General features: G+C 34.5%; 1 protein-coding gene across 38 annotated transcripts in view; it reads right to left on the reverse strand.

Annotated features, from left to right (window-relative positions):
- Positions 1–16,970, reverse strand: part of PTPRD (protein tyrosine phosphatase receptor type D) — a 2,298,757-nt gene that overhangs the window by 1,658,197 nt on the left and 623,590 nt on the right. The gene's annotated exons all lie outside the window — the stretch shown is intronic.

The following is a 16,970-nucleotide window of genomic DNA, read 5'->3' on the forward strand; positions in this document are numbered from 1 at the left end:
TACTCTTTTGGGTTAGCAATCTGAATTTAATTTCATTCACTCCCTTCATATTATAGAAATTACTTGAGTGCCTATTTGTACAAAGTCCAGGTGAATTTGTTTCTTATTGCTACCATAATACATTATATACACATTACAAATATAGTAGCTTGAAAGAACACAAATTTGTTATTGTACAGTTTTGGAGGTTGGAAATCCAATATCAACCTCACTATGCTAAAGTCAAGGTGTCAGCAAAGCTGGTTCTTTCTGGAGGTCCTGAGGGGACAGTCCATTTCCTTACCTTTTTCAGCTTCTAGAGGCTGCCTGCATGCCTTGTCTTGTGGCTTACGGGCATCATTACTAGCTTTTGCTTCCTTTCTCATATCTCCTACTACTAACTCTGAGCCTCTGCCTCTTTCTTATAAGGAGCCTTCTGATTACATTTTGCCCACCTGAGTACTTTCCCATTGTAAGATCCTTAATTAATTACATCTGCAGAGCCCCTTTTGCCTTTGTAAGGTAGCATATTCACAGGTTCTTAAATTAAGGCATAGACATCTTTTGCAGGACATGATGCAAGCTAGCCAAAAGAGAAGGAGGGAACACATTAAAAACTGATATTGGAAAGTAAATTAGAAAATTCCAATAAGTCTAGAATTTAGTTACTCCTACCAGAAGGGAATAGTCATTTCTCTCTCTCTCTCTCCAACAGGGTTAACTTTTTGAACAGTAACTAAGTTAAAAATTAGCAGATGTGGCTGGGCGCAGTGGCTCATGCCTGTAATCCCAGCACTTTGAAAGGCCAAAGCGGGAGGATTGCTTGAGCTCAGGAATTTGAGACTAGCCTAAGCAACATAGTGGTGAGACCTTGTCTTTCAAAAAAAAAAAAAAAAAAAAATTACCCAGGTGTGGTCGCTTGCGTCTGTCGTCCCAGCTACTTGGAAGGCTGAAGCCGGAGGGTTACTTAACCCAGGAGACAAGAGTTTTCAGTGAGCTGAAATCATGCCATTGCCTTGCACCCTGGGTGACAGAGTGAGACCTTGTCTCAAAAAAAAAAAATTAAAAGTAGATGTTTTCATGACAAGTAGAGATTGACTTGGTCTAACTTATTCAGAAAATTGCCTTAATTCCTCACTCACTTTAGCATTCTAAAACTAACTTTCTTCGCTAGGAAAGGAAGAAGCTGCATTCTCTTTATATCTGTAAAGACCAAGTACATGGGGCACTCACAGATAGACGAGTCTAAAGTAAGGTGTCTTCTGTGGGAATTTTAGAGCTTAGGAGCAAGTACTTTGAGCTAAGAAAGGATATATTGGTGTGAAAACATGTTACTTGGCACAGAGTAAGGAGTCTTTTTTTTTCATTTATATTTTTATTTGTATTTTATTTGTATTTTTAATCATCTTATTTTTAGAAATTTTCTAATTAGCCAGTAAGTGCAAATGTGCTCTAATAGACACTTATGTGAACTAATGAAAAATTGAGAGGTGATCACAAGCTTTCTATACCACTGACATTGATTTGATATTTTTAAAAGAGGGAGAAAACATATTCTGATGGTTCTGTAAATAGATTTGTTCCCATCATAGGAATTTAGAAATTGTGACTCCTGAGACAATTTGCTTCCAATTATATTATGGAAACAGCTTTTATTTCAGGCAGCTAGAATTAGGCTTGCTCAACATCTTTAACTTGCAGAATAAATGGAGAAGCCATCCTCAATTTCTATTCTATGTATCAGAGATTTGTTTTGTTGTATGTGATCTATGACACATATGTAACGATTACATAGCCTCAGTGTTTGATTTTAAACTGCTTAACTCTCCAGATGTTTAAATTATAAAACCACCAGGTAAATACATTTATTTTTCTATACAAGTATGCACAGCTGGCTAATACCAAATGATGCCAAAATGTCTGCACCAAGCCTTTCTCCTTTGCTATTAAGGAAACTGCCCATGGGTTCATGTGGACAGAGAATAAAATTCATTTAACAGTAAAATATCGTATTTTGTCCCCCTTTCCACAACAGTTCTTTGACTTCAGATCAACAACTCTGGCCAATAAGGTCACCTGGCATAAGGATATTTTATATTTTTCTCTATTTGAAAATAACATTTAAATAAACCTCCACTTAATCTTTGAATCTAGACCTAATTACCCCACTAATTTCCGGATAAATTTCCTAGGCTGAGTGTTTCTCTCTGAAGCTTCCGACATCTTTTGAAAACCTCCTTAAAACACTTCCATACACAGTTATGGCAAGCATATTTTATTCCTTCTTCTACCCTACCTAGACTGTGAGCTCTTTGAGGATGGGGACTGGGTCTTACACCTTTAACTTCTTACCTATTGGTTGACATAGGAAATATTTGTTGACACAGTAAATATTCGTTGAATTAATAAATTAATAAATGTAGCATGCAGTGAGTGAGAACTTGCTGAGTTCTTTCATTCAGTGGGAAAAGGGGAGAAAATGTCATAAGCCTTATTTCTGAGATATTTATAGTATATTAAGGGGTAGAGAGAAGGAAAACTGGCGAAGAATCTGAAAATACTACATACAATTAAAAAGCAAGGACAATAAATGCTCAAAATTTGAGATTTTCTAAACACAGGAGAAGGTCGTATCACAATCAACTGAGGATTTCTTTCTAACCCACTCTCCCGTTAGCACTGTCTTTCTGTAAATGTGCGCTCCCATTTACAGAGGGCACATTATTATGTTGACAGCTGTGCCCAGTAGACACAGTAAGACTGTGGTTTGACATGATGGACTTCAGTCTTACCATATCCATGGACTCCTTTATTTTTCTTTATCTAGATCCCCAGATAAGCTTTAAGACAAATCCTCTAGCTCCTCTCTTTGAACCAACCCTTCGTATAGTTTCAGACATAAATACTTAACTGTGGTTCTTTGCTTTCACTATTATCCTGAATAACATGTGAGAGCTTTTCAAAATTTAGTTGCTTTTAACCTCTCTTCAAATTTCAGTAGTGGACAATGCGTTAAGCGATTTTGCTGTGTTTCCAGGATTGAGAACTGTTGAGCCACTCTGAGTGAGGACCTAGGACTAGCAGCACTACATCACCTGGAACTTATTAGGCATTCAGCGTCTCAGACTTTTCCAAAGACTTCGTGAAACAGAGTACGTATTTTAACAAAATTCTCTATGTAACTCCCACATGCATTAAAGTTTGTGATGCAATGCTCTACATTATATCAACCTACTAAAATACACACCACCACCAACAAGGAGATCTCTGTTAAGATAATAAGAAAGGCTCCTGGAGGAGGCAATAGAGCCCGTAGATACACAGGTTCTGGAGTCAATCTACCTGGATTCTAACACTTATTAGTTCTGTTACCTTGATTGCATTACTTGTTAGGCCTAAACTTCAGTTTACTGCATTAAAGTGGGGATACTGATAAATGACCAAATCCGTAAGATTTCTGTGAGGTGTACAGCATTATTTGGCATACAGTATCCCTCAGTAAAGTTAGTGCTACTAACGTTAAGTGAACTAGACCTGAAAAGCAGTAGAAGGCATTCCCTTCAGGTCATTATCAGCTTTGGATAGCTGGAGTAAACTAGAACACCAGTCTTCAAATGAGGCCCACATATTCCGAAAGGTCAATGAAGACATTCCAGATGAAACATAGGAACCATTCATTTTAAGTGGAACATTTTCAGATCCCCCACATCCATATACATCCATTTGTAATTTATCTGAAATTAAAATTTGATATGCCTGCAGTAGTGTGTGAGCTTTGTCTTTCTTTTCCAACTTGTCTTTCACAAAGGTCCCCCTCCCAGTTTACAAAATAGAAACTTAACTCCCAGCCATTTTAAATTTTAGTCTAGTATATTCTCTGAATGAAAAAACAAAAAACAAAAACAAAAAATATACTTTGTCACCACAAATACACTTTTTATGCATCATCCAGGTGATTAACTATATTTATTTTTATTTTTTTTGAGACAGAGTCTTGCTCTGTCACCCAGGCAGGATTGCAGTGGCATGATCTCGGCTCACTGCAACCTTTGCCTCCTGAGTTCAAGAGATTCTTACACCTTAGCCTCCCAAGTAGCTGGGATTACAGGTATGTGCCACCACACCTGGCTAATTTTTTGTATTTTTAGTAGAGATGGGGTTTCACCATGTTAGCCAGGCTGGTCTCAAAGTCCTAACCTCAGGTGATCCCCCGCCTTGACCTCCCAAAATGCTGAGATTACAGGTGTGAGCCACTACACCCTGCCACCAAAAAAAAAAAAAAAAAAAAAAATTTACTTTTTTTATGTCTAAATAGTTAGTCACCACTAGCTGACTATTAATGGCAAGTCTGTGTTCTTATTCTCTAGCTAGCTATCTGTCTTCTTAGACAGTTCACTCCTGAGTTGTCTGTAGGAGTGATAAATAATAACAAGTTAAATTTTTAAAAAAATGAAATAACTCTTTACTCACAACAAATTTGATTTGGCGATTGGTTTGGCAATAAGGATTAACTTTGCTGTTGAATTAGGATATTTTTCCATAAATTGAATAGCTAATACTGAAGATACAAAGTTTTTGCAGATATATTTTAACCACATGAAAATATATAGCACTGGCAAAATAGAATATTTATGACTACTAAACAAACAATATATAAAATTCAGATGTCAACCTAAAAATTTAAGAGCATTATGTTAAGTTTTACAAAATCTCTGAAGCTTGCAGATTGCACTTTGGTGATGTCAGCTCAGGACCTTGATAGGTGGATTCCCAGCTCTGCTACTATTTGTGACGTACTATAACACACTGGGAGGTCTAAAGTAGAACTTACCAATTTGAAGCTCAAAAGTGCATCCTTGGCTTAATAAAAAGAGAAAGTAAAACAGTTTTTGGCACATATCTTTAACCTCAAGGCCCTATTGGCACCCTAATACATTTATAAATATAATGTGAGATTTCAAACATATTTCTGAAGGAGGAGAGCCTAGATGCATGCATGAAGCATAGAGTTTTGTACTCTCAGATCTATGTTTAAGTTTTTAATGTTGAAAAAATAAATTCATAAACATATTATCATAAGTAGCATGTAATTAGACATTAACACTATGAAACAAGGAGGTAAGTGATTTTTAAGGGGTTTCCAAGCCTTTGTTCAAAAATACTAAGATATAACAACTTGGCTTAAAAATGATAAGTGAACGCAATAAAAATTGCCATGAGTACGACTGACGAGGACATATCAATTCGCGTTTGATGATTCTTATTATGTTTAATAATTATCCAGCAGGAATAGAATTCATTGTTATTTTGCTTTGAGTTATTTAAAGAGAAAAGTAAGAAAGAAGGGAATTTAGGGTTTATTTGATTGTGGTTATAATTCAACCAAAGCCGGTTTGAAGAGGCAATGGAAAAATAAGACATTTAAAGGTCTATTTAAATTTGAAATGAATTAATATTTCTTCTGACATAATATGGCATTTGAAAAAATATATTTAACATACCTTTCCAGAAAAAAAAAAGTTATGTGCTTTTGCTTTCATCTAGCACATGGAAAGTGGGAAAACCTGTTGCTTCCAATCAAACAATGAAAAAAAGTCAAAGAGAACTATCAAAGTATAACTTTTCTCAAGTCCATCAGATAGCTGATATTGTAGAGCAACCACTTAGCCAAAATTAAAACACACACACACACACGTGGGAGAAAGTGATTGGTAACATATAAATGTGTAAGAGTGATTCAGTCAAAATCAGAAAACCAACAAAAAAGAGTGAAAAGAGATAAGATAATCAATAGAACTGGACTCATAGATCACCTGAGTGTTAGATTTACTGGGTAACTGCTTTAAAATAACTATGTGAAACCTGTTGACAATCTAGTAAAAAAGGTGGAGAACATAGATTAAAAGATGGGGAACTTTAGCAGAGAGATAAAATCTATAAGAAAAATTAAAATGGAAACGCTAAAAGTGAAAACATAATGCAAGAATTGAAGAATTCCGTCAATGGATACATAAGTACTCGGACTTCATCTAGCTAAGGAAAAAAATAAAATGTATGCTTGTAAAAATGACTGAAACTGAAACACGGAAATAAATGAAGGTAAAATTTAAAAAATAAATAAAAAAGCAGAGCATTAAGAGGCATGGGACACCATCAAATGACTATTATGAATGTCCTTCAGTCCCGCAGAAAGAACTGATGGAGAACAGAACAAATGCACGCATGCATGTATAGATGTATATAATATATGCACAGATAGATATAATGACTGAGAATTTTAGAAAATTAAGGAAAGAAAGCACACTATAGATCCAAGAAGCTCGAAAAACCAATAAGCAGAATAAATAACAAAATAAACACAAAATAAACACAGATCGAAGAGTACAGGTACACACTGAGATACATCTCAGTCACACTGATGAAAACCAAAAGAGAAAATCCTTCAGGTAGCCAGAGAAAAAAGAAAAGTCGACACATTATACAGGAATGAAAACAACAACAACAAAAGAATTACAGCAAAATTCTTATCAGAAATCATACAAGCCAGAATATTCAGTCACATCTTTCAAGTACTAAAAGAAAGCAAAAACTATACACCAGTAATTCTATTCTCAGAGAAAATATTATTTTTTTAAATAAGGATAAAATAGTTTTCAGACAAAACTAAAGCTGATTTATTGCTAGCACACTTGTACTATGAGAAATGTCAGAGGATGTCCTTCAGGCAGAAGGAATATGATATGGGACATAAACTTAGATTTATACAAAGAAAGAGTGTCAAAAATGGTAAAAATGAGTATAAATATAAAAGCCTTTTAAAATTATTTTTCATCATTCTAAAAATTATGAATGATTATGGCAATATTTTAAAATAAAATTTCAGGTATTTTGCTTTTCCAGATGAATAATTTTCTTAAACCCAATAATAATTTCAGTAAGGTTTTTAAAATTTAACAGTTAAGTGTGTATCTTCTGGAAAAATATACAAAAATTGAATAGTGGTAGTTATCTGTAAGGAGGGGGAGAATGAGAGGGAGACATTTCAATAAATATACTCTTATTTTTTGAATTTTTAGATATTAAAATAAAAAATCAACACAATTAAAAAATTAAATACAGTGATATATACAATTTAAAGATGGAATTGTAACATATAAGTAGAACAATGATCTCAATTGGAAGATTCAAAGCAATCACCATAAGAATTTTACCTGAAATATTATGAAGAACTCAACAAACTATAGAATATTAACAAAGAATAATTTATAGATTGTGAATAATTAAGTAAATTCTGACTAAAGATTGCAACGAGTGGGAATTTACCAAACAGATTTTAAGACATACTGCAAACGCACAGTATTAAAGAGTATAGAATGATGAGTGAGGGAGAAACCCAGCTAACTCAGACATAGGTCTTTATATAGATGAAAATTAGATACATATCAGAGATTGGGCACAGCAACGGGCAAAATACGGGATGCTTGATAAATTGTCTTGAAAAAATCCAGTTATGACACTGAGAAAAGTAAAATTCGATCCTGATCATAGACTCTTGTTGTATTAATAATCCACATGTGAGAGGAGAATTATAAATTGAATAAAAGGGCAAATAGGAAAATACTTTGTAAACCACAATTGAGAAAATATTTATTAAACAAGAACTAAAAGAGATAACTCATAAGATTGGAAAAAATCAATATTTCAAAATTAAGCATTCTTTTCAACAAAATTTAACAGATATGAAAATACTAGCTATTTTGATAAACAAAAATTAACAGATTACCGTAGTAGAAAGTTATTTTAAAATATTAAAACCAATGAGTGATTTTTAATATATAAATCATATATATACTTGTAATATATAAACATATAACACATATCTGTGGTATTAAAACTTCGTGGATGGGCCGGTTATGGTGGGTCACGCCTATAATCCCAGGAATTGGGAGGCCGAGGTGGGCGGATCACCTGAGGTCAGGAGTTCAAGACCATCCTGGCCAACTTGGTGAAACTCCGTCTCTACTAAAAATACAAAAATTAGCCGGGCATAGTGGTACATGCCTGTAGTCCCAGCTACTTCGGAGGCTGAGGTCGGAGAATCGCTTGAACCCGGGGGGGCAAAGGTTGCAGTGAGCAGAGTTCACGCCACTGCACTCCAGCTTGGGTAACAGAGTGAGACACCTTGTCAAAAAAAAACAAAAAAAAAAAAAAAACAAAAAAAAAAACCCTTTATGGATCAAAATTCTTAGGAAAAAAAAGTCTCTGAAAGCTTCACAGAAAGGGTGATACAGAAAAAAAAATTAACACTGGATTACAGAACATACAAAGAATTCTCATAAATCAACAAGGTCGCAAAAAAGCCAGAAAATTAATAGATAATTAGGCAAAGCGTATTTATAGGTAGTTCACAGAAAAGGAGTTTAAATGTTCAAGCTTGTTTGCAATAAAAAATGCTAATTTAACCATGTTACATTCATTAGAAAGGCAAGCTATTGAGAGAAAAGGGAATTCATTATACTCTGGTAAGAATATCCATCTGTATAGTCATTCTGCAGAAAAGTCTCACACTATTCATTTAACCTGAATATGTTTAGGTCCAGGATTTCCATTCCAAGATCTATTTCCTAACAAAGTTCTCCAAAAGTTGATGAATGCACCTCCACAAAGTCTACATCACGTTATTATTTTTTAGTGGAGGAATTCGTAGCAAACTAAACATCTAATACAATTTTACTTATTGGCATAAATAAAATGCAGTGGATGTATACTATGGAAAAATCGGCAGCAGGTAGAAGCAAGTAAATGAAGTGAACATACACAGTCAGATGGATGAGTTTCAAACGCAGTTTTAACTTTAAAATTGTAAGATGCTGAACAACATGTATGGCCAATAACATGTAGGTAAATTTAAAACATATACTCACATTAAACAATTTTTTTTTTTTTTTTTTAAGACAGAGTCTCACTCTGTCGCCCAGGCTGGAGTGCAGTGGCACGATCTCGGCTCAGTGCAAGCTCCACCTCCAGGGTTCAAGCCATTCTCCTGCCTGAGCCTCCCGAGTAGCTGGGACTACAGGTGCCCGCCACCATGCCTGGCTAATTTTTTTTTGTATTTTTTTTACTAGAGACGGAGTTCCACCGTGTTAGCCAGGATGGTCTCGATCTCCTGACCTTGTGATCTGCCTGCCTCGGCCTCCCAAAGTGCTGGGATTACAGGCGTGAGCCACTGCGTCTGGCCAACGATTCTACATTCTTAATATGAGTGCAAGCGCATTAAATTGGGTTCCAATGGGGAAAAAGAAATAGAAGTAATGATCAGGAATGTGGAGATAAAATTTTAAAGGCGCTTTTTGACTCGTATCATACTCTATTTTCTTCATTTCCATAACAACTATCATCTAAAATCATATTTATTTTACTTGCTTATTATTTAATATCTGTCTCTTTCTTTTAGAATGTAAGACACATAAAGACAGGGCTTTTCTGTTGTTGTTCAAGGTGTCTCAAACACAAATATATTTTACATTACCACAGGGCATGACACATTATTAGGTGATAAAAATTACTTGATTAATTATCAGTAAATGAGCAATGATAATTTACCATAATTTGCTTTACCAGATTGCTTCCCCTAGGTTGGCTCAGTGGAAACAGTATGCCTCTCCTTGGTGGACAGCTTCTTGAGCCGAACATATGGTGAAGCACGGCTTCTATGCTTCCTGTAATTCCGAAAGGGTTGCCAAAATACAGATCTGTGCCAAGAAACCTCTGGCTTCCTAACCTTGACAAGCCTTTTTGAGGCACTTAGCCAGTCGTCTTTATATTCATCTTTGTCACTGAACAGATCCACAAGGACCAAACAACACCCATATTTTCCATATGGATGTAATATTGCAACACATTGTCTTTAAGCTAAAATAGCATTTTTAGGGCACAATTATTTATGTGCTAGTTATGGATGCTATACAAATTATTTGTCAGTAAGTCATCAAAAATCTCTTATATATTCAAATGTGGGTACATAGATACATATATTGTTGTTGTGGTGGTGGTGGTGTGTGTGTGTGTGTGTGTGTGTGTGTGTGTGTGTGTGTTGGCATAAACTAATTGCAATTCTCTTATTTATGATCACAGAAAAGTGACTTTTCTTCCCTCCTGAGGTAAGTTTCTTTCTTCCCTCAGGATAAGAATCAACACTTCCAGTTGCATTGTGTATTATTAGAGGTTATGCAAGAATCCAGAAGTCAGATCAAGGCTTTCCTATGATTAGTTTTTGTTTTGTATTTGATGCTATCTGTTAAGGTCTCAGAGCAAAAGGTCCTAAAAATTAAAAAAATAAAATAAAATAAAAGCTTAATGAAGCAAGGAGGACAATATTTCACTTCTTGATTATAGCTTTCTATTTATAATGCTTTTCTGTTTTACATTCAGCTTCCTCACAAATCAAGCCTGATAATGATTCATGTGCTAAACACTGTTCTGACGAAGATGATTTCTGTATAGTTCTAAAGTTTTCTGTATGGAAAAACAAGGTGATGTGGCGGAAATCTGGAATACATGCCTGCCTAAAATCAATGGAATATTCTATATTTTAATAGATTCCCTTTAGTGTAAATCAAATACTTAAATATGTTATACCAAAAAAAAAAAAAAACTTTATTACTGGGACTCATTTGTCGCTAGGGTACAGATAGGTGATTTGGATGCAAATCAAATGTACCGATGCTAGACTTTGATTCAGAATGGATTACACTGGGAAAGAGGACCTTGATTTTGCTAGTGCTGGTAGCAGCAGAGGTAGCCCCATTCTGGGCAGAGTTCATGGTGGCAGTAGCAGCCTCCTTGCTAAGGGGACTTAGAATAGTTCCACAGCATTTCTGCCAGAGTTCTTGGAATCTTAGTGCAGAGTCAACACTGCTGCCTTTCCAAAGAATCTCTAAACTATGGAATAAATACACTATAGTAAAATGTCATTCCAAAAGATGGGAAAAACAGAACAAACACTCTGTATGTAAAAGTATGCAAAGTCAAACACCAAAAGCTGGCAAGTATTTTGTAAAGTCCTTTATTACAACCAACAATAAAATACAGGCAAAGCACTTAGTACCAGCTACACCGTAAGCCCTATGTATAGAGCCATTAGGCAGCTATTTCTTTAAATATGTTTCACATGGGAACCAAAACGTACACTCACATACAAATACAAATTGAATATCATGAAATGACACTTACACTCTCTCTACTTCAATTCTGTTTAAGTTAAAAAATAAATAACTGCAACATACTTACGTGATTTCACAACTAATGTGATCAACAATTTGAAAAATACTGTCATAGAATGTCCACGCATAATTTCAATTTCTTAATTGATGCCTAATTGAGCATTACTGAAAACTAGGATATTGGAGTAACAACTCTAATCTTTGGAGGGTAATGACACAGGTAGCAGTTCACCGATTTATTCATTAATTTATAGTATCATTCTCTTCCCAGCAATTACTCTCTAGTGCCCTCTTAGAGACATAACTAAGGCTTGATTTAGTATGCCTATTCCTTTGTCAACCTGTAATTGAAGATCAGATATCGAAGTAAAACAAAAAAATTGAGAAGCAGTAGCAGTGATTGGAAAAATGACTTTTTAATTGTTTTATTCATACTGTTTTTTCTCATTTTAAAAAATCATGATTATTACAAAAAATTTTAAATATAAGTGAATAAAAATAATAAAATAGCATTCATTAATAATTAAACTGCAAACTAAAGATTATTACATGGAGTAGTCTGAGTCTGATCATGAGAAAGAAACCACACAGTGATTTTGTTAGGGGACATTTAATACAAAAATTATTAAATCATGAAAAAAGATTATAGAATATAAGAAAACTTTTCTATCTCTGGTACTCTAGGACTGGGAAAAAGTAGCCACAGAAGGACAAATTTGGAAAGAGACTCCCTTCTCAAGGCTGGGGTTCAGACCTTATTGGAGAAGATGTAGTTGTAACCCACAGGATGACAGAGAAATTTATCGGTGTGCCAGACTGGACATGGTCTGTAGTCATGAGGCAAGTAGTAAGCAACATTCAGAGTGCAGATTGGACGCAGGTGAGCCACAACTGGTAGGTGGGTGTATGGGTACACAGAGTGACTTTGGGCCCCGTGGCTACCTTCTGGAATACAAGTGATGTCAGGCAAGCTATAGCTAGTGGAGGTGCACATGGGCATTTACACTTAATGGGAGTAGGGGAACAGGCACAGCAGGTGAATTGATACAATATCCCTGCTGGGAGGACCACAGTGTCCTGAAGACCTTGGGACACAAACCTGGGGCAGCAGAGAGAATTAGGGTGCTGCTGCTGCTGTCTCTCGGAGGCCTGGAATACCCAGTGTCCATGTCAGGAGGACAGTGCATTCTGGGAGCATGGCTGGGCAAGCATCATCAGTGTCCTCACTCTCACACTCCTGACCAACCATGCACACCCAAAAACCAAAGGGGAGTGCCTTCTTCCTGCAATGTGCCCTACAGCTGGATACTGAGGAAGATTAACATCATGCTCACTATAAAGGAGAGATGCTTAAAGGAATTTCATTATCACACAGCATATATTAAGGGTTTAAATATGTTTCACATGGCAACCAAGACATATACCCACATGCAAATACAAACTGAAAAGTTAAATATCATGAAATAACACTTATGCTTTCTCTACTTCAATTCTGTGGGTTACAACCAGTGGGTTACAACTACGTCTTCTCCAATAAGGTCTGAACCCCAGCCTTGAGAAGGGAGTCTCTTTCCAAATTTGTCCTCTTGTGCGTACTTTTCCCCAGTCCTAGAGTACCAGAGATAGAAAAGTTTTCTTATATTCTATAATCACTCTTTTTTCATGATTTTATAATTTTTGTATTTGCAATCCTTAATAATTAACAATACACAATACAGTTAAGTTTTTTTTAGACCTCTCCATTCTTTGAACTGTAGCCATTACTACTCTGCCAGATATGCTGTTTTAAATTATTTTATTTACAACATGCTGGGGCCATGCCATATAATCTTTGGGAAAGATTCTTTTACAGAAAGTAGTCAAATATTGAAACAAATGATGTGCTAGTGATACAGATGATGGTCAAAATGATATCTACATTTAAAGACTTATTCATAATCCAAACAACTGATTTATAATAAAAGGAACTTTAAATACTTATTGTATTGGAGATTCTATAGATACACCACCTTTCATTATTTTATGAAACAATTATATTTTTAAAATATTATGTCCACATGGCATAAATATAAGTGATATTAGAAAAATTGATAAGATATTATCATTTATAATAACAGTTTTTTGATTATGAAAAACATTTATAAATAATATTTTATATTATTAATGAGTTATCATATTTGAAAGAACACTATTGTACAATTCAAACTTTATTCTCCCTCTCCTAAACACTGGGTCAGAACAAGGAAATAATTGTTTCTAACCATGAAAACTAATGTATAGGTAGAGTTGAAAACTCTGAAAATAACTAAAGAAAATTCATTTTACTCATTGGAAGACTACTTAATTTGGTTTGGGGAATAAGGAGGACAGCTACAGGCACCCAGGAATTTTGTAATTCAAAAATCTCTCTTCTACACTTTTCACTAATTAAAACTGTATTCATTAAGCAAAATTTACAAAGAATGATTATTAACTGTTAGCTGGTTGGGGAGAACAAGCCTTCTTTTACACTGCTGAGATATAAAAATTGGTACAAAGTTCTGTAGAACGCTCCAGAATGCCGAAAGTTTTAAAATGTTGTATTTCTTCTGATCCAAAAATTCCACATCTAGGAAATAACTGGACAATAGTAAAAGGTGTAAACATCACTTTTGCATTGTAGTATTAGTATAATAGTGATGAAGTGAGATAGACTAAGTGTCTATCAACAGGAAATTAAATAAATTATAGGTTATTGATATAATGGAATACTATGTATTTATTGAAGTAATATTGTAGAATATTTTTAGGTGATATGACATGTGATTAAGAACTATAATTATAAAGTAATATCACTGCTGTAAGTAAAATGTATGCATGTGTAAACCCAAAAGCCTCAAAGCATAATCTCTAAATGATTAACAATAGTTATCTCCCACAGGTGGGGCAATGAGAGGCTTGTATTGTTTTCTTAATATGTGCATATATTACCTAAATTTTTAGGTTGAATATAAGTTACTTTTATAATAAACAAAAGACAAATTTATGTTAAGGAAGAAGGCATTCAACTGGGTTAACACATTTACTTTTTAAAATTTATCACTTAGAAAATAATTAATTCACTTTTGTGATTGAAATACTCTCTAGAGTTACTATACAATGGATATAGAGTTTCAATAATACAAGATGAACAAGTTCTGAGATCTACTGTACAATGGGCATATAGTTAACTGTACTGTACACTTAAAATATGTTAATAGTGTAGATTTCATATTTTTTTTTTACTGTAATTAAAAGATACTCTCTAGAATTCTGAATATTTAAACTGGCCCCTATTTCCTGAACAGGAATAACTTTTAGCTGAATTCAGTCTCAGAGATGTGAGAGTAATTCAGGAAAGTAGCTAGTGTATAAGAGAGAAGATGAAAAAAGGGAAATCGAGAGAGCTTGACTGGGGAGGAAGTTATATAGCAATAATCAAGCAGAGATTAGACTGTAACTCAATAGAATTATGTTTTTTGAACTCCAACCAACAACCTTTTCTCTGGGTAGGCTGACTATTAATAGAAATAATAAACATGGGTAGTGAATCTCCAACCCAGTTTTTACATATATGATTAGTACTTACATATTAACATCAAATAATAATTTCATAGATTAGAATTTGTGATGCTGTGTTGTCCATTTTCACACTGCTGATAAGACATGCCGGAGACTGGGCAATTTACAGAAGAAAGAGGTTTAATGGACTTACAGTTCCACATGGCTGGGGAGGCGTTGCAATCATGGTAGAAGGCAAGGAGGAGCAAGTCACGTCTAACATGGAAGGCAGCAGGCAAAGAGAAGGCTTATGCAGAGAAACTCCTGTTTCTAAAACCATCCAATCTCATGAGACCAATTCACTATCACGAGAACAGCACGGGAAAGACCTGCCCCGACAACATGTGGGAATTATGGGAGCTACGAGATGAGATTTGGGTGGGGATGTTAGCCAAACCATATCTAATGCTAAAGTAATTATACCTATCACTTCTTAATAAAGATTCATTACCAAAAGTAATTCCTTCAGTTATGCAACTTTGGTTTACCTTAAAGATTTAATATGTATCTCAAAATAGTATTTAATTGTTCATACTCAGTTTACCTAGCAGCATAGTAATGTATGGAATAAATTCTTTCTTATATGACTTTTTCAGTATGCTAGTTGCAAATTGGATGAAGACAACTAGTTCATTTAAACTCTTTGTTTTTTTACATTTTTGCAGAAGGAATGTTATTTACTATTACAAGTAATAAAATACTATCAGGCAGGTTTAGGGTAATATTAAGCTGACATATTTGCCGTAACAGCAGTTTCATTATAATCGAGTCAAAACATTTCTTCTAAGAGATATCAATAACAAAGAATTTATGCACTTGTCTGCTTTTAAACAGGTGTCTGAAAATACAAGAATATTTATTTGGGAGTGTTTGATAGCTAAATTTATCATAACTCTTATTTCAAGAGTAAATTGCTTGTATTGATTATGCAAACATAATGATTAAATTCTGCTACAAAACACATAATTATTTATTGAACATCAATATGATAAAGCAAAACTTTTCAAAAATATTTTTGCACATATTGATCAGTTTTCAAAACATATTTTATGAAATTATGTTAGTTATTTTTAATTTCTTCTTGTCTGTTATTTAGTGTTTTGTTTTCTCTATCAGAAGTTCAGACTTGAAAACTGTTTATTATGAATGCCAACTTTCCAGTCTTTACTAAATTGATCAGTTCAAGAGTTCCTTGACCTCCAAGCATGCAGCTCAAACTGATTTCCTTGAAGACAACAGATGTTATTATCTATTAAATTAGATTTGGTATCTGTATTTTTAGGTTTACATTTTAAGGACATGCAGAACATAAGTCTCAAAGATAAAGTGCCAGACCTAAATCTGTCAACCATAAATGTATCATTAGTGCTGAATTTTAAATCTTTTTTTCTGCCTAGTAAAGTAAAATAGCCCAAATAATGTCAGTTCTTTTTATTTTATTAAAAAACCCCAGAGTAATTTTTAATAACAAGTGCTGTTACATATCTAGGTATAGTAGAGCTCAGTATATAAAAACTCTAAAAAGTGTATTAAGTAATTTTTAAGATACATACATTTATTTTCTTTGTTCTAAAAGGAAGGCTTTTATTTTCTTTTTATGGCCACACATTATATAAGGGATATCTTTTAATCTACTTCCATCAGGAAAAATAAACAATTGACCTTTGAAATCTAGAGAAATAAACAGAAAACCAAAATGAGACCAATTACCTTCTGGACCAATGACTGTACAACATATGTACTGTCAATGTCTCTCTCTCCCAAACATCAGAAGAGCCCTTAGTTTCACTGACCAAAAAAAAAAAAAAAAAAAAAAAAAAAAACCACAGACTTTACACAGTTGCACCCAAAGAGTTGCTCTGGGGAGGAGTTATGTCCTCTGCCAAAATTAAGAAGTTCATTTGTAGATTCTATATTTTTTTCATATTTCTTACATGTATCAACATAGAAAGGTGTTGATACAGACAGGAATCAGGGAAATACTGGGTAGAAGTGGATGTGGGTCCCTGGCGAGGGTCCATCCTCAAGTCTGGACCCACGGCCTTAAATGAGAGCATGCATTCCTGTTTTCCCACTTGAATGTTGCCTTTTCCAAAACCACCCTAGCCTTCTCTGCCCCCACATTCTGTACCCATAAAAACCCCAAGCTCCACTGGTAGAGGAGCAGAGCGGCAGAGAAGAAAAGAAGAG

The sequence above is a fragment of the Homo sapiens genome, chromosome 9, assembly GCF_000001405.40.
Source record: "Homo sapiens chromosome 9, GRCh38.p14 Primary Assembly".
NCBI lineage: Eukaryota > Metazoa > Chordata > Mammalia > Primates > Hominidae > Homo > Homo sapiens.